The 26,483-nt window shown below is 53.3% G+C and overlaps 1 protein-coding gene across 4 annotated transcripts in view, besides 2 other annotated features; it reads left to right on the plus strand.

The window, feature by feature from the left end:
• Positions 1 to 26,483, plus strand: part of FBLN1 (fibulin 1) — a 98,253-nt gene that overhangs the window by 15,746 nt on the left and 56,024 nt on the right. For all 4 annotated transcript variants that reach the window (NM_006486.3, NM_006485.4, NM_001996.4 and 1 more), the window contains exons 2-11: positions 54 to 159; positions 6,915 to 7,050; positions 9,219 to 9,381; positions 12,637 to 12,696; positions 14,435 to 14,536; positions 15,133 to 15,270; positions 16,572 to 16,709; positions 22,601 to 22,744; positions 23,527 to 23,655; positions 24,773 to 24,898. In NM_006486.3, the coding sequence (NP_006477.3) occupies positions 54 to 159; positions 6,915 to 7,050; positions 9,219 to 9,381; positions 12,637 to 12,696; positions 14,435 to 14,536; positions 15,133 to 15,270; positions 16,572 to 16,709; positions 22,601 to 22,744; positions 23,527 to 23,655; positions 24,773 to 24,898 (1,242 nt within the window). The remainder of the gene's footprint in view (positions 1 to 53; positions 160 to 6,914; positions 7,051 to 9,218; positions 9,382 to 12,636; positions 12,697 to 14,434; positions 14,537 to 15,132; positions 15,271 to 16,571; positions 16,710 to 22,600; positions 22,745 to 23,526; positions 23,656 to 24,772; positions 24,899 to 26,483) is intronic.
• Positions 5,619 to 6,170: an enhancer, noted in NCBI's record as "H3K27ac-H3K4me1 hESC enhancer chr22:45920127-45920678 (GRCh37/hg19 assembly coordinates)". NCBI's record gives its function as "activates a minimal SCP1, AML or CMV promoter by ChIP-STARR-seq in naive and primed H9 embryonic stem cells {active_cell/tissue: H9 hESC(naive and primed)}" and the evidence as "EXISTENCE:reporter gene assay evidence [ECO:0000049][PMID:30033119]".
• Positions 9,911 to 10,461: an enhancer, noted in NCBI's record as "H3K27ac-H3K4me1 hESC enhancer chr22:45924419-45924969 (GRCh37/hg19 assembly coordinates)". NCBI's record gives its function as "activates a minimal SCP1, AML or CMV promoter by ChIP-STARR-seq in primed H9 embryonic stem cells {active_cell/tissue: H9 hESC(primed)}" and the evidence as "EXISTENCE:reporter gene assay evidence [ECO:0000049][PMID:30033119]".

Below are 26,483 nucleotides of genomic sequence, written 5' to 3' on the forward strand. Positions count from 1 at the left end.
CTCCACCCGCTGAGTGGTGAGCCACCTCTCAGCTTGTTCTCTTCCCTGCACAGTGGACGCGGATGTCCTCCTGGAGGCCTGCTGTGCGGACGGACACCGGATGGCCACTCATCAGAAGGACTGCTCGCTGCCATATGCTACGGAATCCAAAGAATGCAGGTACGTTTGCCAGTGGCCACTGTTTCACTGGAACAATGTTCCTTTAGAGAAAAGTGGGGGAGGAAGGGACAGTGTGTGCCAGACCTCTCGGGAGAGGCTGGACACCCAGGCCCGGATCCATCCAGGCTGCGGGTGCTGCAGTGGGTGACTCCTGCCTCCCTCCTGGCACCGGCCTGGCACCGGGCCTTGGCTCACCCTTCCTGTGCCACTCTGTGATTGTCGGGGTATGTGTCTCTTTCACTGGGCTGGGAGCAAGAAGATCTGGGCTTGCAGCTGTGGGCAAGTCAGTTTTCTCTTTTAAAAAAGGGGGGACAGTTGTGGGGGAGCAAAGGAGATGATGTGACTAAAGAGCTTTGCGAGTGGAAACACGGACCACCTACAGACCCCAAAAATGCCAATGAGCCGGCGCAGAGTGAAGCGTTCCACCAGCCGGTTTTTCAGCTTCTGCAGCAGCCAACATCTGGATCGACCGTTTTTATTCTTCTCTCCCTACATTGACTCCAGCTCTCTGAAAATTCTGAGACCGTGTAAGCTTAGAATAAATAATGAGAAGCCGGGCGCGGTGGCTCACGCCTGTAATCCCAGCACTTTGGGAGGCCGAGGTGGGTGGATCACCTGAGATCAGGAGTTCGAGACCAGCCTGGCCAACATGGTGAAACCCCGTCTCTACTAAAAATACAAAAAAAATTAGCTGGGCGTGGTGGCATGCGCCTGTAATCCCAGCTACTTGGGAGGCTGAGGCCAGAGAATTGCTTGAACCTGGGAGGCGGAGGCTGCAGTGAGCTGAGATCGCGCCACTGCATTTCAGTCTGGGCAACAACAGCGAAACTCTAACTCAAAAAAAAAAAAAAAAAGGAATAAATGATGAGATTAGGTCATGCTGATCATCATCATAAAAATAATAGTGAAAACCCCAGAATGCCCGTGTGGAGCACCTACTTTCTGTGTACCGTCTGCACGGACAGCAGCCAGTCTGGCCCCGGGAAGGACAAGGGCTGGGGAGGTGGACCAACCTGGTTGGGTTTCAGGCTGGGTGACCTGAGCCAGCTCAAAGGCACCATGATACCTCCTTTCTGGGGTTGTTATAATGATCAGAGATCACCCGGGCGCGGTGGCTCACCCCTGTAATCCCAGCACTTTGGGAGACCAAGGCGGGTGGATCACCTGATGTCAGGAGTTCCAGACCAGCCTGACCAACGTGGTGAAACCCCGTCTCTACTAAAAATATAAAAATTAGCTGGTTGTGGTGGCGGGCGTCTGTAATCCCAGCTACTCGGGAGGCTGAGACAAGAGAATCGCTTGAACCCGGGAAGCGGAGGTTGCAGTGAGCTGAGACCGTTCATTGTACTCCAGCCTAGGTGACAGAGTGAGACTCCGTGCCCCCACCATCAAAAGAAAAAAATCAGAGATCACCTATGAAATCAGCACCACAAAGCCAGACTGTGGCAACGTATTGGTTTTCTAGGACTGCCAGAGCAGAGTATAAGGGGCAGGGTGGCTCAACCACCGGTTCCTCATAGTTCCGGAGGCCAGAAGTCTGAGACCGAGGTGTCAGCAGGGTGGGCTCCTTCTGAGGCTCCTCTCCTGGGCCTGTAGATGCCCTCTTCTCCCTGTGTCCTCACACGGCCCTCCCTCTGTATGTGTCTGTGTCCTGCTCACCGCTTCCTCGAAGGACACCAGTCCTTTGGATTACAGCCTGCCCTAACAACCTCATTTAACTATGTCACCCATTTAAAGTCACTGTCTCCAAATAGAGTCCCATTCTGAGATACTGGGGGTTAGGACTTCACCAGATAGATTTTGGGAAGACACAATTTAGCCCATAATAGGGAGCCACTACTATTAATACTTAGTGAAATAAAAGAAAGTGAGGCATCAGCCCGTGTAACCCCTCAACGTGCAGGCAGAGGAACTGAGGCCGCAGATTCAGCAGCACTCTGGGCCTTGCTTGTGAATGGGGATTTTAGTCACTATCAAATGTATTACTGACTTCTACTCACTAATGTCTTTGGTAAATTTTGGAGTTATCTTTTTTCTTTATTTTTTGAAACTGAGTCTTGCTCTGTTGCCCAGGCTGGGGTGCAGTATGTTGATCTTGGCTCACTGCAACCTCCGCCTCCTAGATTCAGGCGATTCTCCTGCCTCAGCCTCTCGAGTACCTGAGATTACAGGCACACACTACCACACCAGGCTAATTTTTGTATTTTTAGTAGAGACAGAGTTTCACCGTGTTGGCCAGGCTGGTCTCGAACTCCTGACCTCAGGTGATCCTCCTGCCTTGGCCTCCTAAAGTGCTGGGATTATGGGCATGAGCCACTGCGCCCGGCCAATTTTGGGGTTATCTTTAATCTCCATTGAGTCCCAGAGGACAAACACATTGCCTTCTTAGAAATTTCAGACATACATTAGATTTCCTGGAATGTAAGAAATACCATCAGAATGGCTGAGAGGGCATTCCTTCTCTCTTTAAGTGCGGGTGCAAGTCCAGACTCCTGGGTATCGTGAGTTTCCATATGACAGTGTCCCTGAAACACGTGGCTCAATGCCCAGGACACCACTCCAGGGTCACCAGATGCAAGTGACTGGCCCATTGTGTCACTTAGGCCCCAGGAGGCCCATTGACTCATCCCAGTGGACACACAGGCCAGGGGCCACATACCTGTCCTAGGCTGCCTCTCAAGTGAGCTACTGAGCTGCCCAGCTCTGCCTGCGTCACTGCCCTGTGGCCCCAGGTGCTGTCCGCTGCCCTCCAGCCCTTCCTGTGTGCTTCCCCTTTACCCTGTTCTCACTGGGGTCCAAACCCCACGCAGCCTGTGCCAATCAGAGGCCAAGCCTGGGCTCCAGGTCACAGTGAGACGGAGCCCACATAAGGGTTCAGGAGGCAGTCACTGATGTGGCTGTGGGGGTCCTCGGGTGAGCAGGACCCCGCCCCAGCCTCCCCAACCTGGGGAGGTCAGAGCTCCTGTCTGGTTGAGGCAAGGGCTGTGGATGCGGGGTGTGGCCAGCAGTGCAGTGATGCTAATGAAGGGATTTTCTAATGAGTTTTGTATAGATTTTCATTTTTAATGAAGGCAGGGAAGGGATAGGGCAGATCAGAAATCAAATCTTATTTACAAGAATCCTCTTAATAGTGATATTTAAAAGATGCAAAAAACAGGGATCACTGACCACCTGGTTTGTCTGTTGTGTTAGCCAGCTCTTTTTTTTTTTCTTTTTGAGATGGAGTCTGGCCCTGTCGCCCAGGCTGGAGTGCAATGGCGCAATCTCAGCTTGCTGCAACCTCCGCTTCCTGGGTTCAAGCGATTCTCCTGCCTCAGCCTCCTGAGTAGCTAGGAGTACAGGTGCCTGTCACCATGCGTGGCTAATTTTGGTATTTTTAGTAGAGACGGGAGTTTCACCATGTTGGCCAGGCTGGTCTCGAACTCCTGGCTTCAAGTGATTGGACGCCTCAGCCTCCCAACATGCTGAGATTACAGGCATGAGCCACTGCACCCAGCCAAATTCTCTTCTTTTGAAGTGGCTTTCTGTGAGGCTCACCAGCTGAAGTAAAATCAGTTTTTGTTCATTCAACAAATCTTTATTGGTTCTTGATGCTCAGGAAGAGGCAGGATGAAAGCCATGAGCAGGCAGGCAAGCCCAGGCCAGCCCTCCTGGCAGCAGTCGAGGGTGTGAGGCCCTGAGGGTCCATAGGGCCCAAAGGAGGGGGTATCAGCTCCCTGAGTGGGTGAGAGGCTCAGAGAGGACTGCAGGGAGAGGCCGACCTCTCCGCAACCATGGGCTGTAGCCAAGCAGGGGTTAAGCAGCCTGCAGCTTCAACAAGGACGTGTTTGGGGTGGTCAGAAGATGGCAGCTTTGATGTTTTCCCATCATGAATCATCTTGACTCTAGGTCTCCACCAAGGCCCGACATTCCTTGGGATCCAGATCTAAATCCACCTAAAACTTTGGATTAGATTAAACCCACATGTCCTTCAGCGTCTTTTGGAGGAATCTGGACACATCCAGTGAAACCTAAAGCAAGTCCCAAGCTGACATTTTCCAGCCCAGCATTTCTCTAACCCCTTCTTTATTTTGCAAATCTCACTGAGAGCCTGCTAGGTGCCAGGCTCCGTTCTGGTGAGTGGGGATCAATCGGTGAACGAAATATGCAAGTCCCCTGGCCTCGTGGAGGCGGCATTCTATAGGGGATGCAGAATGCAAAGAAAGTAATAAGTCCGTCTGATGGTTTGTAGGAAGGCAGGATGTGCCGTGGGGGAAACAGGGAGGCATAGGGGCTTCTGCTCATGGTGGGTTTATAATTTTAGAGCCGTGGGGTTGGCCTCACTGTGCCAGGACCTGAATGGGGCGTGGGCAGTATGGAAAGTGGGAAGAGCATCCCAGGCCGAGGGAACAGCCAGCGCAAGAGCCCAGAGGAGAGGGTGTGTACAGCAAGGCGGCCAGGGTGGCTGGAGTGGAGCCAGCAACGGCCAGTCCCAGGGAGGAAGCACCAGATACAAGGGTAACCAGGTGGCTGAGGGGGCCATGAGATAGAGGCTGGGGTGTTGGGGGTGAGCCTGAGGCAGCTGGACACCCTGAGGTGCCTGGGACACTTGATTGCTTCCACCTTTTGGATGTTGTAAATAATATTGCTGTGAGGCCGGGCGCAGTGGCTCACGCCTATAATCCCACCACTTCGGGAGGCTGAGGCGGGCAGATCACTTGAGGTCAGGCGTTTGAGACCATCCTGGCCAACATGGCAAGATCTCATCTCTACTAAAAATATAAAAAATTAGCTGGGCATGGTGGCAGGTGCCTGTAATCCCAGCTGCCGGTGAGGCTGAGGCAGGAGAATCACTTGAACCCAGGAAGCGGAGGTTGCAGTGAGCCCTGATCGCAACATTGCACTCCAGCCTGGGCGACAGAGCAAGACTCCATCTCAAAAACAAAACAAAACAAAACAAAAAACAACAACAAACTGCTGTGAACATGGGTGTGCAAGTATCTGTTTGAAACCATGCTTCAGTTCTTTGGATATTTACCCAGAAGTGGAATTGCTGGGTCCTATGATTATTCTATTTTTAATTTTGGGAGGAACTGTGCTCCACGGCAGCTGCACCCTTTTCCATTCCCACCAGCAATGCACACGGGTTCCAGCATCTCCACATCCTCACCAACACTTGTGATTTTCTGGCTAGCCAATAGTTTTTGAATGGATGCACGCATGGCTGGTGGCTCGCTCTGGCAGTTTAGTGAAACGCCGTTATTTGCAAATCCACCGAAAGCATGAGTGAAATGTGTGCTAGCTCAGCTCGGTAATTCCATCCTGGAGCCTGAAGGCAGTTTTGAGACACACGGGCAGCCGGGTTCAGACCTCCAGTCCCCCAGGGAAGGTTGGGGGAAGGTGCACTGGCAGCTGCCATTTTTGTGCAGAGGTGGCCTGGCTGGCAGTGCAGGGAAGCTGGGGAGGCCCCCACCCTCTCTCCTGGAGGCACGAGTTGGGTGGCTCTTCCTGCCCTTGCTGGCTTTGGCTGGAGCTGGGGTTATTTTGGGTCTGGTCAGGGGCCACCCGTGACACACTCCTCTCCTGCTCATTGCCTTTGGAGCCCGCCCACGCCAGCCCCTAGCTGTCACAGCCTCATGGTTGTGTTGGAGGAGCTGATTTTGGCAGGTCGAGGACCTCTCCCCAGAGCCCCGGCAGGGCTGGGAGGTGTGGGCTTTGCAGCTAGGTGCCACTGCAGCCACCATCCCTCCCTCTGGGGCCTTGGGCAGGCTACCCAACAGGACTCTCAGAAGCTGTTTGCTCTGAGCCTGGAAGATGGAACGAGCACTGAGAAGAGCTTGACCTGATAAAGGGGTGGAAGGTTGGGCCCAGAGTCAGCCCCCCGCCGCTTTTTGGTTTTCAAATCAGCAGGAACATTGTGCGGGTGAAGCCTAGTGCTCAGAGGAGTGACGCGGCCACTCTGGTGACAAAACTGGGCCTCCTGGCTCTGACTCCAGACACCATACTACATTCTGTCTTTCTTTTTTTAAAAAAAGAGGCCAGGCATGGTAGCTCACGCCTGTAATCCCAGCACTTCGGGAGGCTGAGGCGGGGGGATCACCCGAGCTCAGGAGTTCCAGACCAGCCTGGCCAACACAGTGAAACCCCGTCTCTACAAAAATAGAAAAGTTAGCCAGGTGTGGTGGCGCATGCCTGTAGTCCCAGCTACTGGGGAGGCTGAGGCAGGAGAATCGCTTGAACCCGAGACGCAGAGGCTGCAGTGAGCTGAGATCACACTACTACACTCCAGCCTAACTCCATCTCAAAGAAAGAAAGAAAGAGAGAAAGAGAGAAAGGGAAAGAGAGAGAGAGAGAGAAAGAAAAACAGAGAGAAAGAAAGAAAGAGGAAGAGAAGGAAAGAGAGAAAGGGAGAAAGAGAGAGAGAGAGAGAAAGAGAGAAAGAAAGAAAGAGAGAAAAAGAAAAGAAAAGAAAGAAAGAGGGTCTTACCATGTTGCCCAGACTGGTCTCGAATTCCTGGGCTCAACTGGTCTTCCCACCTCATCCTCTCAATGTGCTGGCATTACTGGTGTGAACCACTGTGCCCGGCCAAGCCTTTCTAACTAAATGCTAATTGAGCTCCTTCTGTATGCCACTGGGGCACTGTGTATTTCTCTCTCTGTGTCTGTGGGAGCAGGGAAGGGGAGGCTCAAAGGTGAGAGCACCCCCACCCCCGAGGATCTCGTGCCCTGGGCCCCCTGCGCACAGAGCCTTGGCCCAGCCCACCCCTCACCCACAGGATGGTGCAGGAGCAGTGCTGCCACAGCCAGCTGGAGGAGCTGCACTGTGCCACGGGCATCAGCCTGGCCAACGAGCAGGACCGCTGTGCCACGCCCCACGGTGACAACGCCAGCCTGGAGGCCACATTTGTGAAGGTGAGAGCCAAAGACCATGTGGGGTCGCTGCCCGTCCCCACTAGTCGGCAGACCCAGGCCCTCCCAGCCAAGCGGCACTGTCTGTCAGCGCTCCCTGCCTCAGGCCACCTTTCTTTGTGAGCAGCTGGGGGTTCCTGGGCCAGGAGGGAGGTGGAAAACCCCACTGTTTCTCCCCCTCCACTGTAGCCGTAAACCCCGGAGGACACCTGGGGCCGAGTCTCCCACGAGGCCGGGGGGTGAAGTGAGCTGGCCTTGCCCTGAGAACCGCCTGTCTCCAGGCATTGGGCAGATGCAGAAGTCAAAGCAGGGCTCCTCCTGGGCTTCCAGAATCTTCTTCTCAATTCAGGGTCGGCACCCTCACCCTACCCAGGAGGCTCTCAGGCTTCTCTACCCACAGACTCGTCAGGGTCCAGAGGTAAAAATGGGCCCTCACTAAGACCTCTGATAAGATCTGACCTCTATAACGACCCTAAAAGAGGAAACTGAGGTTCAGAGAGGCCCAGCCTCCAAAATGGCCTCTCTGCAGTCCTGTCAGGGACCCAGACGGGATCCTGCCCTGAAGGTAAGCTGTGAATAAATGGCATAGTCCTCTTCCCTGAGTGCTCCTAGGACCCTACGTGCTAGCAGGTCACTCAGGACCGCTATGGCCGTGGAAGGGCTGTGTCTTTGCAAGAGGTGGAAAGGTGCCTGACAGCATTGCCTACAGGCAGTAAACCCAAGGTGTCCAGGCCATCCCTCCCTTACCACCCAGCCAGCAAGGAAAACAAGCCCGGCCAGGAGGAACTTGGGCCTGGAGGAGCTCGGGTTTGGAAGCTGGGCTTCTGTTGGAGGTGCCAGATGACGAAAATGCATTCCCTGGAAGAAGCTTCCCGTTCCTTTTAGGAAGGTGATGGAATAATTTTAAGAAACAAGAATCTGAATGAAGTCTGGATTCCAGGAGAGGGTGTGGGAGCTCCTTTGTGGGGATTCTCCACATAGATTGGGCTGTGGAGGGACTCCGTGTGGAGGAGTTGGGGGTCCCGAGTCCCCTGCCCACCTTGGCCTGTGTGGGCTTTCACAGGGCAGGGCTCTGGCCCAGGAGAGAGCTGGGTGGGGTGATGGTGGGGGTGCCTGGGAACCAGGACTTTGGGCGTTTCATGACTGCCCCCGCACCCTCCCACCCAACACCCAATGCAGGGCTGGGCCTTGCAGATGCCGTCGGTCCGGCACACAGCTGTGCCCATGTCCCCAGACTTGAGAGGTGTGGAAAAAGCACAGAACATTCTAGCAGGAGTGGGAACAGATCTCTCTGGCAGATGAGCGACTTGTGTTTCCAGGAAGGATTACTCACACCCCAAAAGATGGATGAGGTGACTGATGCTCCCTACACTTTCTGGCAGCGGAGGGCGTAGAATAAGCAGCCTGGAAGACCCATCAGTGCCACATAACTGAGGCAAAGCTACACCTCCTGGCTCCTGCTGGGGACTGTTTAGAAAGTTCTGTGCTCCTCTTAGGATAACCACTTAATAAAGACTGAAGCAGGGCTTTTCGTGTGTCAGGGCAAATGTTGCTTCTGGGACTCAGGTGTGAGGCCACAGGGACTTGGAAGTAACTATTGGGACCTGGGCCCAGGTGGCAGACAGCCACCCTGTCCTTTGACCTTGCTTGATGACTCGTCTTGAAGTTCCTGTGCTTTCAAATGCACGGTGCAATTCCTGCTGCCAGAACCCCTCTAACTCAAAAACGGAGAGGCAGCATGCATGTGTGTCATTTTTCCGGGCATGGTAGAGAAATCTCAGACCATGCAAAAGGAACAGAACTTTGGAGCTGGTGCATGGTGCTATAAGAAGCTCCCTCTTCCTGGATGTGTGCGAGCAGAGCCGGGTGGTCTCTGGGCGGGGCAGGGATGTTGAGGGGTGCAATTGCATGTTGGGGTGGGGAGGGGAGGTGGATGCCAGGCCCTTTAAGCTTCCTTTCAAAACTGGGACCTAGATGATTTGGAGTAGGGGGATGGCCTTGCTTTGCTATTTGTTGCTGACATTTAGAAGTGGTATCTAAGCCAGACTTGAGTCATCACTCTACAGGTTGTGTGGACAGGGGGCTCAGAGAGGCCTCCCCTGAGGCCTCTCGTGGACCCCGCTGGGCTGTCTGCCCGCTCCTCCATCTGGGATCTCCACCTGTGTTTGCAGAGGTGCTGCCATTGCTGTCTGCTGGGGAGGGCGGCCCAGGCCCAGGGCCAGAGCTGCGAGTACAGCCTCATGGTTGGCTACCAGTGTGGACAGGTCTTCCAGGCATGCTGTGTCAAGAGCCAGGAGACCGGAGATTTGGATGTCGGGGGCCTCCAAGAAACGGGTAACTTTCCCCCTTCCTTCCCTAATGAGCAGTGTATTAAGGTTCTCCGGGATGTGTATATAGAGCGAGAGTGGAGAGAGAGAGATTTTAAGGACTTGGCTCATGTGATCGTGGGGCTGGCAAGTCCAAAATCTGCAGGGCAGGCCTTCAGGCTGGAGCCCCAGGGAAGGAGGGGCATTGCAGCTGGAGTTCAAAGGCAGTGTGCTGGCAGAACGCCGCCTTTCCCGGGGAGGCCAGTCTTTTTTCTCTGAAGGCCTTCTGCTGATTGAGTGAGGCCCACCCATGGTATGAAGATGATCTGCTTTTCTCAGCATCAACAGACTTACATGTTAATCTCTTTTTTTTTTTGAGACAGAATCTCTCTCTGTCACCCAGGCTGGAGTGCAGTGCAGTGGTGTGATCTTGGCTCACGGCAACCTCCGCCTCCCGGGTTCAAGTGATTCTTGTGCCTCAGCCTCCCGAGTAGCTGGGATTACAGGTGTACACTACCACACCTGGCTAATTTTTGTATTTTTAGTAGGGATGGGGTTTCACCATGTTGGCCAGGCTGATCTGGAACTCCTGACCTCAGGTAATCCACCTGCCTCAGCTTCCCAAAGTGCTAGGATTACAGGTGTGAGCCATCGTGCCTGGCCAATATTAATCTCTAAAATATAGCTTCACAGCAACATCCAGGCTAGTGTTTGACTAAATATTTGAGTACCATACCCCAGCCCAATTGACACTTACGATGAACCATTACAGGTAACACGTGCATCCGTGTCACCATTGCCTTAACTCAGCACGGACTAACTCCGGTTGTCGGAGCCATTCATGTTTGTGACCTTATCTGAAAGCCGCTGTCCTGGAGTGACGCTGAGTGCTTGGAGTCTGGGATCGGACAAATCTGTGCTCCCATCCGGGTCCTAATGTGTACCTTGGTCCCCTCATCTGGGAAGTGGGGATAGTTGCAGTCCTACTTCATCAGGTGCTGGGAGGATGGAGTGCGAGATTGGGTGTCAAGGGTTGGGTAGAGCACCTGGCCCCATAAATGTCTGCCCTCACCATCTGCCCTTGTCCCTTCAGCTGCCCGGGGCAGCATGGGTGGCTGGCCTTGCTCCCACTTCTTGGGTGAGGGTCTGATGCTGAAGATCGCACAGCCGACACGTGGAGGAGGGAGAGCCTGGCCTTCCACCTCCTGGCCAGTGCCCTCTCCATCTGGAGCTGACGATGTATGGGCGAGCAGCTGGGGGCCATCGCTGGCTAATAGCTGGCTATGCTCTGTCAAATCATAGACACTTACTCAGCAAAGGGGCATGTGACCCCAAGAGCAGCTTCAAGAGCGCTCTCAGCTGTGTGCCCCCCCGTTCTGTGTCCTCGCCCTGCATTTCTGTGTGGTTCAGTTACAGGGTTCAGGAGACTTTGTGGCTGTCCAGTAGCCTCTTACACTTAGGCCACGGTTTCTTGTGCTGTAACAGAATTAACCTGGAAGAAGGCAGGACTCCGCCTGGGCCAAGCTTGCTGTGTAGTTTTCGGCCTGTTCCCTCCTCTCTCTGAGCTTTGCCCCCACTCTCTTAAAAAATAAAAGAGGTGTGAGCTGGGCACGGTGGCTCACGCCTGTAATCCCAGCACTTTGGGAGGCCGAGGCAGGCGGATCACCTGAGGTCAGGAGTTCGAGACTAGCCTGGCCAACATGGGGAAACCCTGTCTCTACTAAAAATACAAAAATTAGCTGGGCGTGGTGGCGGGCGCCTGTAATCCCAGCTACTTGGGAGGCTGAGGCAGGGAGAATCGCTTGAACCTGGGAGGCGGAGGTTGCAGTGAGCCGAGATGGCGCCATTGCATTCCAGCCTGGGTGACAGAACGAGACTCAGTCTCAAAAAAAATAATAAAATAAATAAAGAGGTGGGGAGGTGCCGGAAGGGGCGAAAGGGAAGAACCCTCAGACCTGTAGTCTCTAAGTCAAGGTAATGGCTGTAGGGTCCTGGGTGACACGGAACCTTTCACTTCTTGTTCTTAGGTTTTCAAGTCCAGGCTGTAGGGCCCCTGGTCACAGAGGACCCGGGTCACCCGGGACTCATCTTTCACTTATTGTTCTTAGTTTTTCAAGTCCAGGGCCCCATGGATGCCACTGAGATGATTTCAGATGTTACAGTCATCAAGAGGGATTGGGGCCGCATTCTGCCTCATTCCTTGGCTTTTGAAATCAGAGACGACATTTTCACTTTAAACAAACCCAAACCATTCCTGCTGGTGGAGGATTTCTCCTGCATCTCGGGGGTGGATTTTCACTGATTTATGTCTGCAGCGTGAGCAGTCTCTGGGCTTTTCTGCAGCTCCAGATGTTAGATGTTTTATCTCTCCGTCTTTTATCTGCTTCAGTCCTTGCCCCAGACTATCCTCGCATGCTCCCTCCTCTGGGAGGGCTTCCTGTCTTCACAGCCGCACCTTCCTCCCACTGCTACCAGTGCCATGGACCCACTGTATGTTTCCTGGGGGCCATGCAGAAGGTCCCCAGACCAGTGCTGGCCTGCGACAAATAAGTACAGAAATGGAGAATAACCCTTTTCAAACACATAATAGCATTTGATAGAATCAATCAGGAGACTCAAGTTTTTACTGCGTGCATTGCTTTAGACTTGGAGGGCGTGTGTTGGTTGTTAGCAAGGCTGTGACTGCATTTGCTGAGATGGTCAAGTAATTTGGACTATGGGAATATCACCCAGCATGAAGTCAATGATTACAGGCCTTTGTGTCTGTGGTCTTTCTGTTATAACTGATCTTTTTTTTTTGAAACGGAGTCTCGCTCTTGTTGCCCAGGCTGGAGTGCAATGGTGTGATCTTGACTCACTGCAACCTCCGACTCCTGAGTTCAAGCGATTATCCTGCCTCAACTTCCTGAGTACCTGAGATTACAGGTGCATGCCGCTACACCTGGCTAATTTTTGTATTTTTAGTAGAGACAGCATTTCACCGTGTTGGCCAGGATGGTCTTGAACTCCTGACCTCAGGTGATCCGCCTGCCTCGGCCTCCCAAAGTGCTGGGATTACAGGTGCCCGCCACCACGCCTGGCCTATAATTGATCAGATATCAATTATACATTTTCAAGTGTAATTCTAGCTTAAAGAGGATAAAGTTAATACTTAGCTGTTTATATAAGATGTTCAAATGGGCATTACTGCCTGATAGTGACAAGAAGAGAGAATGTTGGGAGTTTCTTTTAAGATAAGATGGGTGTTTGGATAAATGTCTGACTTGGTCTTTTTCCCCCTTAGATAAGATCATTGAGGTTGAGGAGGAACAAGAGGACCCATATCTGAATGACCGCTGCCGAGGTGAGACTCGGGCGTCTCCCATCAGTTGGTATTTAAACAAACCCCAAGGGGCCAGCAAGGTGGCTCAGGCCTGTAATCCTAGTACTTTGGGAAGCCAAGGCAGGAGGATTCCTTGAGCCCAGGAGGTTGTGGCTGCAGTGAGCTATGACTGCACCTTTGCACTCTAGCCTGGGCAACAGAGCTGGACCCCGTCTCAAAAACAAAAAAACAAACAAACAAAAAGCAAAACCAAGGAATCTCGGTGCTGATCTCACTGGAAGTTGGAATCCAGGTTTTGCTTTGGTTTACCCTGCAAAGTACCCTTTGGCTGGGAGCCAGCCATGAGCCACTTCCACCCTGAGGAGTCGTGGACTCCCAGCTCCTCCTTCCCTTTCCCCTTCCAGATCTAGGGCTGGCTGGGGAGGGGAAGGGTGGGCTTACCAAGGAGGGGCCCTGGTGAGGCCCTGCTGGGGAGGGTGGCCCAGGCCCAGGGCCAGAGCTGGTGTGGAAAGCCTGCACGTTACCGAGCCCCCAGGCCTTGTGAAGGTGACAGAGGCCTCCCTCAGGCTCTCAGGGGAGAGGAGGGGGCTCAGCGTTCCCTGCCTTTGTGCCCCTGGAGCCCCAGCCACGGTTCTGTCACCATTGGTGATATTCATTTGCCTCACAGGGAGATGTCTGCACATTTAACTAAGGGCCTCGCAGGTTTGTTTTTCATATGATAAAACTGCTTTTCTTTCATGGAACATTCTGGCATGTCTAGACCTGCAGATCTGCCTCACAAGCTCTTTCAGTGGTTCCCCCTGTGGTTAGGGTGTTAATTAGGGGCCAGTTTAATTCTTAAATGATGCAGTCAGTGTACAGTGACAGTTGGTCCAGGGGCGCTGTCCAGGGGCCTGGTGGAGGGAGGAAGGGAGTGACCTAGAGCCCCAGCAAGCCTCAGGGCTATGGGAGGAGCTTTCTGGGGAGGGGAGAGCTGGTCTGCAAGGAGGAGGTGGGATTAGCTGGGAAAATAACCCTGAAACGGTCCTCAGGGAGACCTGAAGCCTTGTAAAGGGCACGGACCCACTGTAGCAGGGTACTGGGAGGCAGTGGGCTGGGGAAGGAGGTGGGGTTACAGGGCCAGAGAGAGGGGCCCTAGAAGCAGGCAGGCTGGCAGCAGTTAGAAGTGTATCTCGTAGAATCTTTCCCTGGTTGAGGCTTATCCTGATGAGATTTGCACTCTGAGCATCACTCTGGCCACCCTGTAGGAAGAACAGGTTGTGGGGTGCTTCTGGGCTATGCAGAAAGACCAGGTAGGAGGCTGTGGCCACAGCCAGGTGGGCAGCTGCAGGAACTGAGGCCATGGTAGTGGGCTTGGAGCAGTGGGACAGCTCGAGAGTTCAGTGAGGAGCAGGTACATGAGGCCTAGTTGGGGCCTGGCCTTCCACGTGGAGCCCACACCCCCATGTCTGTGACCGGCAGTGAGCTCTTCTCTGCTTCGCCCCTTCCAGGTCCACCCCAGCCTACAAAGGGCACCCTGCACACCACCTGATTTTCCAGACGGGGAGGTTGGGACCTGAAGCAGCAGCCCCTGGGGGGTGTCCAGAGCCAGAGCCTGGGGGTCTCCCAGTAGGGCAGCAGGTGGGCTCCAGCCAGGTCAGCCTGCCTTCCTGGGTTCGTCTGCCCAGAGGGCGTTTTCTATGACCCAGCCTGAACGGAGCTAGAAACCAGGCGGTGCCTGGGTGCGTCCATCCCTGGCTCATGCACGCTGTGCTTCCAGGAGGCGGGCCCTGCAAGCAGCAGTGCCGAGACACGGGTGACGAGGTGGTCTGCTCCTGCTTCGTGGGCTACCAGCTGCTGTCTGATGGTGTCTCCTGTGAAGGTAATGTCCCTATCCCAGGTGCCAGCAGGACTGGCCGGTCACTGTGCTTGGGAGCTCTGTGCTGGAGGACTGACCAGGGCCTGCCTTCTACAACCCAGACCCCATTCAGGGGTGGAGAGCAGCCCAGGACGCGCTTTCTCGTGTTCGCTGGAGTTTGCAGCGCAGAGGCCCCTGCCGAGACTTCCCTCCAAGACAATATAAGCACTGGGGTTGGGAAAGAGGATGGAGTTGGGGTCTAACCAGGTTCCGGATCCAGGATCTGCTGAGTGGCCTTGGGCACATCCTTCAGCCTCTCCTGGCCCCCGCGTCTGTGAGATGGGGGAGATGGAGAAGATGCTGCCCCTCCGTGGGGTTCTTGAGGACCACATAACTACAGTCTCAGAAAAAGCAGTAGATATGAACGTTAGCAGGGGAGAGAAATCACTGCTTTCGACTCCGTGCAGTCCACAGCCCGGATGTGCACATGGTGGACCTGAGCTCAGTTTGCGAGGGTGCAGGGAAGCACTTCCACCGTGGCTTTGGCACATTCCTTTCTAGGATGTATTAGGATGGGTCGTTCTTGCTGGTCACCCCCGCACTGCCTCGGTCTCTCCTAGATGTCAATGAATGCATCACGGGCAGCCACAGCTGCCGGCTTGGAGAATCCTGCATCAACACAGTGGGCTCTTTCCGCTGCCAGCGGGACAGCAGCTGCGGGACTGGCTATGAGCTCACAGAGGACAATAGCTGCAAAGGTACAGCATGCGCTCCGAGTCTGCAAACCTGGTCTTCCAGGCGTAGATACGGCGCGGTGGGAAGGGCAGCTCTGGGGTCTGGGCTCCCGCAGTCCTGCGCCCTCTGTGGCTGCCTGGGCGACTGCCTGCTCATCTGCAGGAGGGAGGTGGTTATACCCACCAGGGTGTCTGGACAGGTGGGATGGAAGGTGAAAGTGCTTGCCAATAATGTTCAGAACATTGAAAAAGTTGACAGTAGTGCACCGGTGCCAGCTAGTTCAGCTGTTAGGAAAGATTTACGTTCTTATGGTGCAGAGTAAACGATGGCAGATTTGGGTTTCTAAAAAGGCTCAGTGCATGACTATTTAAAATCAAGACCAGGGATGAATTTCAGGTTCTCACATGTACTTTCTACAAAAAAAAAAAAAAAAAAAAAAAAAAAAGCAAAAACAAAAATCCCACAACTGTTTTTGCACAACAGCTGCCTTCCATCCAAATCCAGGCTTCCTTGAAGTTCAAAGCATATCCCCTTCCACTGCATAAACACATGGCATTTCTGGCTGCCAGCCTTTCCCCGCCAAGCCTTAGGTGTTATTTGGCAGATGGGGAGGCTCTGATGAGGATCGTTTAGAACACAGTTTTGCAGAGGGTTTCAAGCCTTTCAGAAGGACAAATCCACTTGTGTAAAAATGTCACTCACTGTATCATGAGAGTGACTTCAAAGCATGGCACACCCCTTCTGACATCTGAGGGCCACAGAGCAAATTCTGTCCTCCCCACCCCCACACACCAGCTGGGTGGTTTGGACCCCTAGAGCCCAGTGGCCAAGCCAGCTGAGTATACACATTTGACCATTTGACAGCCATGAACTTCAAGGGAAGGGCAGCCCATCACATCCCATCATGACTGTAACCCTTGTTAATATCTGGATTATTGTGAAGACTTCAGAATGGATATGTTTATAGAGACTGTGTTTGTTGCCACTAAGATAATTGCTTTATGATCTAAACTAAACATACACTTAGCCTGAATGAATACTAATATATATATACCTGCCAGGAAAATGCCAGGGTGATTTATTATAACAGACAGTTTGCCTCATAAGAGCCTTGGGAAAAAAAGTCAGCTTTTTAAGTCTTTAGCAACTGGAGCACGATTTGGCTCAGTGAAGTCTTTTTTGTGTATGATTTCTCTATTAGAATGTTTTGGGTTATAGTCTGAGTAATGCGCATTAGAAAAAAGCTTTCTTGTGATTTTAAAGTGTTGTAAGATGCTTCTGGCAGGACTCTTGCTAACAATTTCCTTTTTTTATGATGTACCAGATATTGACGAGTGTGAGAGTGGTATTCATAACTGCCTCCCCGATTTTATCTGTCAGAATACTCTGGGATCCTTCCGCTGCCGACCCAAGCTACAGTGCAAGAGTGGCTTTATACAAGATGCTCTAGGCAACTGTATTGGTAAGAGGTGTGCCGCCAGGATTAGCGGGTTATTCCAGGAGGGGCCAGCGACCTAGCCTTGGGGCAGGCCTCTAGAATCTGCGGGGCCGCATGGTATACAGAACAGGGGTTGGCAAACTTTTTGTGTAAAGGGCTGGACAGCAAATAGAGCAAATACTTTAGCCGTTGTGGGCCATATGGTCTCTGTCATAATAGTCAACTCTGCTGTTATAGTCTAAAGCGGCCAAGGGCCATCTGTAAACAAATGGGTGTGGCTGTGTTCCAATAAAACTTTATTTACAAAAATAGGCAGTAGGCTGGATTTGGCCCAAGGACCACAGTTTGCTGATCTGGGTTTAGATTAAAGAGCTTGGGTTTTGGAGTTAGAGTGACCCAAGAAAATTACTTCTGAGCTTTAATTTTTTCCTCTATAAAATGGGAGTAATCATAATACCTGGCTTAGAGACTTGAGGCCAGGATTAGGCGAGTACTTGCGAAGTACTGGTACACAGGAAGCACTCGGTGAGTGGTGATTCCCTGCCACAGGCATTTAGCCTATTAAAAAATTATTTTAAAAAATACTTGGCTGGGCACAGTGGGTCACGCCTGTAATCCTAGCACTTTGGGAGGCCAAGGCAGGAGGATTGCTTGAGCCCAGGTTTTTGAGGCCAGCCTGGGCAATATAGCGAGACCCCATCACTACAAAAAATTAGCTGGGTGTAGTGGCGCATGCCTACAGTCCCAGCTACTTGGGAGGCTGAGGTGGGAGGATCCCTTGAGCAGGGAGGTCGAGGCTGCAGTGAGCTGTGATCGTGCTACTGCACTCCAGTCTGGGCAACAGAGCAAGACCCTGTCTCAAAAATAAAATAAAATATAAAAATAAAAAACAGTCTGTGTTAGTATTTGAATTCATAGAGACAGAAAGTAGAATGGAAGGTGCCGGGGCTGGGCAGGGTGGGGGATGGGGAGTGAGTGTTTCCTGGGCGCAGAGTTTCAGTTTGAGAAGATGAAAAAGTTCTGGAGATGGATGGGGGTGATGGTGGCACGACAGTGTGAATGCAGTAATGCCCCTGAACCGTCTACTTAAAATGGTTACGATGGCAGATTTTGTGTTACATAAAATTTGTAGTTCACATGTAGTTCACCACAATGAGAAAAGAAACTCTGGCCAGGCACGGTGGCTCACACTTGTAATCCCAGCACTTTGGGAGGCCGAGGAGGGTGGATCACCTGAGGTCAGGAGTTTGAGACCAGCCTGACCAATATAGTGAAACCCCATCTCTACTAAAAATACAAAAATTAGCTGGGCGTAGTGATGGGCGCCTGTAATCCCAGCTGCTTAGGAGGCTGAGGCAGCAGAATCGCTTGAGCCTGGGAGGCAGAGGTTGCAGTGAGCTGAGATCACGCCACTGTACTCCAGCCTGGGTGACAGAGTGAGACTCCATCTCAAAAAAGAAAAAAAAAAAGAAATTGCTGATATCAGAGAAATACTAATATGAAAAGAGAGAATCCCATGTGAACTTAGTATGAATTTAGGAGGCCTGGGCAAGACCGCTCACGCTAGAGGAGCTGTGTGGGGTGCGGCCGGGGAGCTGGCCGGCCTGGGTTACTGGTTCTGGAAAGACAGGAGGTGAGTCCTGCTTTCCCCAGCCGTTGTCAGGTTAACTGCCTGGCTAGGCCGCTGCAGTCAGCGCTTAAGTCCTGATCCACCGGCTCTCCCTCGGCCTCTGCTTGGCAGACGCCCCTGGGTCCTGCCTTTGAGGTCAGAGAGACTTTTTAGGAGAAGAGGTGAGGAATCCGAGCTACAGATCACACTAGTCAGAACCTCCCCACCTGGGGTGGCCCCATCACCTCTCCCCTGCCATGAGCAAGGGGGTATACATTTCCATCTTGCTTCGATTTCAACTTTTCCTTAGCGAAATCTGTATTGATCATTTATTTGAAATAGTGGTTTGGAGAGAGAGCTCTTCCCCCACTGCATTATTTTTAACCACTGAGATATTTAAAGATAAGTGGATGTGGCCGGGCACAGTGACTCACGCCTGTAATTCTGGTACTTTGGGAGGCCAAGGCGGGTGGATCACTTGAGGTCAGGAGTTCGAGACCAGCCTGACCAATATGGTGAAACCCCGTCTCTACTAAAAATACAAAAATTAGCCGGGTGTGGTGGTGGGCACCTTGTAATCCCAGCTACTCAAGATGCTGAGGCAGGAGAATCGCTTGAACCCAGGAGGTGGAGGTTGTAGTGAGCCAAGATCGTGCCACTGCACTCCAGCCTGGACAACAGAGCAAGACTCTGTGTCAAAAAAAAAAAAAAAGATAAAAAGACAAGTGGAACAGTGAGCCCTTAGGACAGGGGCCTCGTCTGAAACCCGCCCCAGCCTTCCTCTGTTACAGCTTCCCTGTCATCCCCTGGGGGAGACTTCTGAGCTGGGGCGCTGTGGCTCAGCTGCCAGTTGGCCCCTCGCCAGTCCCTTGCCAGCAGGGAGGGGTGGTTTTCGCTCAGCGCAGGGGGTGGTGAGCAGGGAAGCCATGGGCTCTCCGGGACCAGCGGGGAGGATAGTCCTGCTCAGACTTGCAGCCTGCTCAAAGGGGGGTCCGGAGGAGGCTGGCGTCGACTGAGGATGGAAACCCTGACTCATGGCAAAATCAGCCCCGATTTCCACAAAGAGGCAATGTTTGCAAGTCTCAACCTAGCCCTGACTTTCCTCTCTACAGGGTGCAGCACTGTGTATGGGCTGAGGCTCGGGAGCCGTCCCCTTACTGTCCTTCCAGGACTGGCAAGCAGGCTGTGGGCTGAAGGCCAGCCTGGCGGCACTGAGCTGTTCCGTGCCATCTCCCTGGGTCCTCAGTGACAGCATCGAAAGCCAAATGTTCAGCTCCCTCAGGGTCCCCTTAGCTTGGGATGCTGGGATGAGGATGGGGTTCCCCTTTTCATGTGCTCTCAATCCTTGCAATCAAGCTCAGGAATCATTGTTTTAAAAGATCTCTATTTATTTCAAAAATTATGTATGTCTTGACTTATAAATCAGCAAACAAAACCTAAGTGTAGGAAGTAAACGCTCCTCCCCTGGCCAATCCTGCCCGCCTCTTGGCAGGGTCCATGAGCCCTTCTGGGCTCTGCTCCCTTGAGACTTTTTGTTTTTTTATGAAAATGGGATCAGACTGTTCTGCCACTTGCTTTTCCCCCCCACTTGACAGGGTATTTAGAAATCATTTCATGTCAGCACCTTTATGTTATCTTTTTAAAAATGACTGCATCAGCAGAAATACGTCTTTCTAAGGAGAAAATACATCAAGATAGAAGGTAGTTTCAGGCCGTCTGGGAGAGGGCTGAAAAGGTTCTATGTCAGGTCCTGGTCCCCCAGCACGCACCCTGGGTCCTCTGCTCCCACACCTCTGCCCATGGTACCCGCTCCCTCACCCAGGAACAGCATGGTCCGTGGTGGGAAGCGTTGATTTCCTTGTGTAGCCAGAATCCATCTTCCTGGAGCTCCTAGAACCATCCTGGGGCCCCAAGAGCCCATCCGAGCCTCCTGCCTGTAGCAGAAGAGCTCTTCCTGCAGAGCTAGTACAAGGGATGGGTCAGGGTCCCAGAAAGTGGAGGTCTCTGCCCCTATCATGCATGGAGAATTTTCTAGAACCTTAAGGTTGGGTCACCGAGGGCTTTGAGACCAGCATGGCTTTGTCGGGTTTTCTTTGCTCTTTTCTTCAAATTCCCTCCTCCTGCTGCTGTATTCCTTTCTCCTTCTCCTCCTCCTCTTCCCCCTCCCATCCTCCCCCTCCCTTCTCCTCTTCCCCTCCCCCTCCCCTCCCACTTCCCTCCTCCCCCTCCTTCCCTTCCCCTTCTCTCCCTCCCCGCCTCCCCCTTTCCCTCCTTCTTTTCTTCTTTTTTTTTTTTTTTTGAGACAGTCTCACTGTCACCCAGGCTGGAGTGCAGTGGTGCAATCTTGGCTCACTGCAACCTCCACCCTGCTGGGTTCAAGCAGTTCTCCTGTCTCAGCCTCCCAAGTAGCTGGGATTACAGGTGCCCACAACCATGCCTGGCTAATTTTTGTATTTTCAGTAGAGATGGGGTTTTGCCGTGTTGGCCAGGTTGGTCTCGAGCTCTTGACCTCAGGTGATCCACCCCTCGGCTTCCCAAAGTGCTGGGATTGCAGGCGTGAGCCACCACGCCCAGCCTCTGCCTTTCTTCTTGAGTGGGGAGGAAGGAATGGGCCAGGGCTTCCCACGTGCCCTGGCTGACCTTGCCTGGGGATGTCGGCAGGTCCTGGGGCAGGAAGGGGTTCCACTGAATCTAGGAAGCACTGGGTGAAGCCAAGTGAACGGGGACCTTGGTAGCTTGGGCTTTTCCCATGTGAATCCCTGAGAGGGAGAGATCGGGTGCCCTGTTCCCAAACTCACCCTATGCTTTACATTGATTTGCTGTCTGTTTATTCATTCCCATTCATTCATTCATTGATAGCCAGGTCTTACCCCTGTGGAGTGCACGATGTTCTGAGGGACACTGTTGTTCTGTGGAACAGAGTTTGGGGAATCTAGTCTGAGTGAGGAACCTGCAGCGCCAGTGGGAAGGCAGCCACCGCTCTGCTAAACGCTGCATTTATTCGTGTTACAGGGCAGGGGCCACCCAGCTGTTTCTCTAAAGGGCTAGATGGTAACTAACAACTTCAGTCTCTGTGGCAACCACTCAACTCTGCCTTTTGCAGTGTAAAAGCACCCCTGAGCAATGCATAACAGAGTGGGCCTGGTTGCACGCTAATAAAACTTTATTTACAAAAGCAGGTGTAAGCCGGGTTTGAACCAAGGGCCATCATTTGCTGGCCACTGATTTAAGGGAGCTGGAAAGCAGGAGACCCTGATTCTAGACCTAGGCCCTGGTTGGCCCCTGACTTCAGCCATGAGCCCAGAGTCATTCAGTCTCCGGACCTTGGTTTCCTGTTTATAAAGTGCAGGCAGTAATGATAGTGATACCGGCCTCACCTCACTTGCAGGCTGGCTGTGGTGCTCGAGAGCGGTCATGGATGTAAAAGCTTTTGTAAACTGTAAATTGCTGCACGGTCAGCGCGAAGGGCTGACTCATTTGACTGAGGAGGGTGGACTTGGCTGGCAGGGAGAGGGGTACAGCTGTCCTCCTTTCTGACTTACGCTCAGGGGTCTTCCACCATCACTCCCTCTCTTTGTTCCCCCATACCAGATGCTTTGTAAGTGTCTGAGCAAGGTTCTCCAAGGTGATGTTTAGATGCTTAGGTCCTTTTCCACTCCCTCTATCAGGAAGTGCAATCTGTGTATTCTTCCTCCGAATTTGAGCAGAAGGAGGGTATCCCTGTGTAGCATGGCCCTCCTGGACCATTCATGGGTTCACACTTGCTCATTGTATGTCATCAAAGGTAAATGCCCCACGGTCCCCATGTCAGAGATGTGTCCACTCAAGGAAGGAGACTGCCGTGCAGTGAGCTCAGGGAGCCATGGCACCTCCCGGGTGGGCCTGGCTCAGCATAGGCCCTGTGAAGCCCAGTCATCGGAGGGGCCTAGAGCCTTGCTGGGAGTCAGAGTTGCTGGCACCACGTGGACAGTCACCTGTCTCCTTAATACCGTGCCCAGTGTGTGGAGTAGATGAATGCAGGAGAAGCCAGGCAGGCAGGTCCCGATTTGGCGCAGCGAACGATGGAGGTGCTGGAGATTTAGGGACAGGAAGAAGGGCCAGAGAGGTGGTGTTTGAGGCGGTATGCAGTGATAAAATTTGGGAGCCAGCTGGGAGGCGGCTGTGTGGTCCAGAGTGAGGGGGTTGAGCCCCTCCATTTGTGGTTTTGCAAAGAGGTGGGAAGGGGAGTTTCTTTGGAGATCCAGTTTTTGGGTTCTGGGACACCCTCCAGGTTTAACCACATGGTCTCTGTCTTTTCCCGCTGTAGATATCAATGAGTGTTTGAGTATCAGTGCCCCGTGCCCTATCGGGCATACATGCATCAACACAGAGGGCTCCTACACGTGCCAGAAGAACGTGCCCAACTGTGGCCGTGGCTACCATCTCAACGAGGAGGGAACGCGCTGTGTTGGTTGGTATTAAGAAAACAAATCTGAAATCCACTTTCCTGTCTGCTTCCAGCATGCACCCTGCCTTCTCTGGAAGCAGAAAGTTGATCCCCAAAGCAAAGCCATTTCTATCAGCCCATCCATCCCACTGTCAGTTCCCAAGCATGGGGCTTCATTGTCTTGCCTGGACTGGTGCACCAGCCCGTCTACTGCCTCAGCCTTGTCTGGCTTGTCCTGAGCCCAAAGCTCTCGCACCCCACCCTGTTTACAGTTCCATCAGCTCCCCGTTGGTGACAAAGGATGGATGCCTCTGCTTACAGTCCAGTCCCCCAGAGCTGGCCCAACTCCACAAACCTTGTAATTCAGGCAATGTGGGTCTGCCACTCCCCACACAAGCACTGTCCTTTCCTCTCTGTGTGGGTGTTTGCTCTCACGTCATTCCCTCTGCCCACCTGCTCCTACGTTCCTTTGGATCCAGGGCACCCAGCCTGCCTAGATCCCGCCAGGGAAGGAGCCTTCCTCGCATAACCCCCAGGACACTTCTTCAGTGTCTCCCTGGGTTCCTGGGCACTTCCTACCTTAATGAGAGTCATTGCTGGCCTGCCAGCCAGGTAGGGCTGCCTCTGGGTCAGCTATCTTCCCAGTCCAGGGCCCGGCACTCAGTAGGTGCTCTGTGAAGTCGTGTTGAAATGGAATGCCTGTTTCCATGTCCATGTGTTCCTTTCTTGCTTTCCTTTCTGATCATCTTGGGGGGAAAAAACCCAAACTAAAGGTTTTCATCATGGCTTTCTTTCTCCTTTGCAAGATGTGGACGAGTGCGCGCCACCTGCTGAGCCCTGTGGGAAGGGACATCGCTGCGTGAACTCTCCCGGCAGTTTCCGCTGCGAATGCAAGACGGGTTACTATTTTGACGGCATCAGCAGGATGTGTGTCGGTGCGTGGGGGGCCCCGCAGGCCTCGGGGGAACCCAGCCACGTGGCACCAGGGACACATTTCTGTGGCACCTCGAGTGATGTGGTCTGATCCTCATCTCAGATAATCCCAAGTGCAGGCAGACCCTGAGAGAAGATCCTGAGTCAGGAGACCCCATTCTAGCCCCAGCTCTGCTACTGCCCAGCCAGGCGGCCACTGGCACCACCCCCCTGTGTGTGAGCCTGCTCCCCATCTGTGGAAAGGGGTTCTGCTTGACCCAGGACCTCCAAGTGCTGATGAGCCAGGTCTACACATGTGGGCAGCATCAGCGATTTCCTGGAGATTCACCGCTGAGCTGTAGATCCCCAGGAGCTAGAGATGTGTGCCTTTAGCCCAGGGCAGCGAGGGGAAAAGTTGACCAGGAGTGGGGTCAGGTCTTGTCCAGCCAGTGCCTGCTGTCACCAAACCTAGGTGCTCAGGGAAGCCTGGCAGCTGCCAACCACTCCCCCAAAGTGGGCACTTTGCTAGATCCTGGCAGACCCTCCTTGTGGGTCCTGGGGAGGAGGACTGGCAGGAGGGCACAAGTTCAGATGTGCTGCCGCAGAAGGAGCACGAGGCTCGCCCACCAGGCAGGCACAGCGCGGCAGTCCCGGCTCTCCCACTGACTTCCCGCATGCTCGGGACAAGTCACTTTGCATTCCTTGTCTGAGAAATGAGGCTGGAGGCCAGGCGCGATGGCTCATGCCTGTAATCCCAGCACTTTGGGAGGCTAAGGCAGGTGAATCACTTGAGGTCAGGAGTTTGAGACCAGCCTGGCCAACATGACGAAACCTCATCTCTACAAAAAATACAAAAATTAGCCGGGCGTGGTGGCACATGCCTGTAATCCCTGTTACTTGGGAGGCTGAGGCAGGAGAATCACTTGAACTGGGAGGCGGAGGTTGCAGTGAGCTGAGATCATGCCACTGCAATCCAGCCTAGGAGACAGAGCGAGACTCCATCTCAAAGATGAAGGAAAAAAAAGAAATGAGGCTGGAGGAGGTGGAGGACAAAGGACATGAGCTGGCCTTACTAGGAGGGTGGAGTGTGGTGCCACTGTGTTGGACATTGCCCTGAGTCAGCCCACCCCTCACTTTCAGATGTCAACGAGTGCCAGCGCTACCCCGGGCGCCTGTGTGGCCACAAGTGCGAGAACACGCTGGGCTCCTACCTCTGCAGCTGTTCCGTGGGCTTCCGGCTCTCTGTGGATGGCAGGTCATGTGAAGGTGAGGCTGGGGCCCCGTCCACTCACCTCCCCCAGGTCACCTTCCTCCTGGGGAAGCCACCCTTCTGCAGACCGGTTTGCAGCAGATCCGCGATGGTTTCCCTGTTAAATGACATGTTAGCAGGGGAAGTGCCTGTAAAATATTGTTCATCAGAGAGGACTGCCCGCCTGCCCACCCGATTTCTCCTGATGACATCCACCCTCCGAGGCCGTGTCGGGGTTCATAGGCTGCGGCAGAGGCCATGCGGGATGTGGCTAGGATTATGGGGCTTGGAGCATGACACCCACGAGTCACAGGGCCTTGGTTATGCCCGACCTCTCCCTGCCTCCGTGTCCTCCCCGGGGAGAGGGGTTGATGTGTGAAACAGCAGCGAAAACTGGACACTTGTTTTGCACAAAGACAGTGTGTGGGTTTTAATCAGATGCTGCCTAGGGGAGACAGGCCTCTGTGTCCATTGATCTCAAGTCACCCAAACAAAAGGAGGGAGGCTTTGTAAATGACGAGCTGTGAGAGGAAGTACTGAGGCCTTTAGGGCGTGGGTCACTGTGCACCTGCCTCTAACTTCTTTTTTTTTTTTTGAGACGGAGTCTCGCTCTGTCACCCAGGCTGGAGTGCAATGCTACGATCTCGGCTCACTGCAACCTCCGCCTCCCGGGTTCAAGCGATTCCCCTGCCTCAGCCTCCCGAATAGCTGGGATTACAGGTGCACACCACCATGCCCAGCTAATTTTTGTATTTTTAGTAGAGACAGGGTTTCCCCATGTTGGCCAGGCTGGTCTTGAACTCCTGACCTCAGATGATCCGCCCACCTCGGCCTCCCAAAGTGCTGGCATTACAGGCGTGAGCCACCGCGCCCGGCCTGCCTCTAACTTCGTGTTGGAGTTAGGCTTTCCCCACCCGCAGAGACAGGGAGAAGCACCCTGGCCTTCCGGATGACGACATTCCCCAGGCATGTCCCCAGCCCTTGAGAAAGACACTCCTTGGTTGCACATCTCAAAGGGACAGAGAAACCGTTTACATTTGCAAGTTTTTCTAAAGTAGATGCTTCTAAGGAACATGGAGGTCAGCGCCTGTAGTCAGGTTTGGGCTGGAACCAAGAGAAAATTCTTTTGGCAGCATTGATCTTTCTCAGACAGGCATGTCAAGGGGGCTGGGTCTACATCCTGGATACCTGGTCTTGGGCCAATGGCAGCCACGCTGAAGTTGGGTCAGGTCTCTTGGTATGTGGGGGTTGGACAGAGTTGTTCCTGCCAACAGTCTTGTGGTTCTCAGATAACACCAACCTCCTGGGCTGATGGGAAGGTCACATGAACTGCATGTCAGCCCAGGGCCTGGCACATACTAGGTGCTTGGCAGATGTCGTGTCTTGTATACGGATTAGGTTCTGAGCTGAGCAGACACTGAGAGCTTTGGATGGCCCTCCACAATCGTCCACATTGCCGATGACACCCTGTTTGGTGCCGTGCACTGGCTCACAGGACGGCTTCTGCAGCCTGACTCAAACATGGCAGGTCCTAACATTTTGCCATGAGAATTTTCCTTCCTGATGAGATGGTCGCAGGGGTTGGATATGCCACAGTGAGCT

This window comes from Homo sapiens, chromosome 22 (genome assembly GCF_000001405.40).
Source record: "Homo sapiens chromosome 22, GRCh38.p14 Primary Assembly".
Classification (NCBI taxonomy): domain Eukaryota; kingdom Metazoa; phylum Chordata; class Mammalia; order Primates; family Hominidae; genus Homo; species Homo sapiens.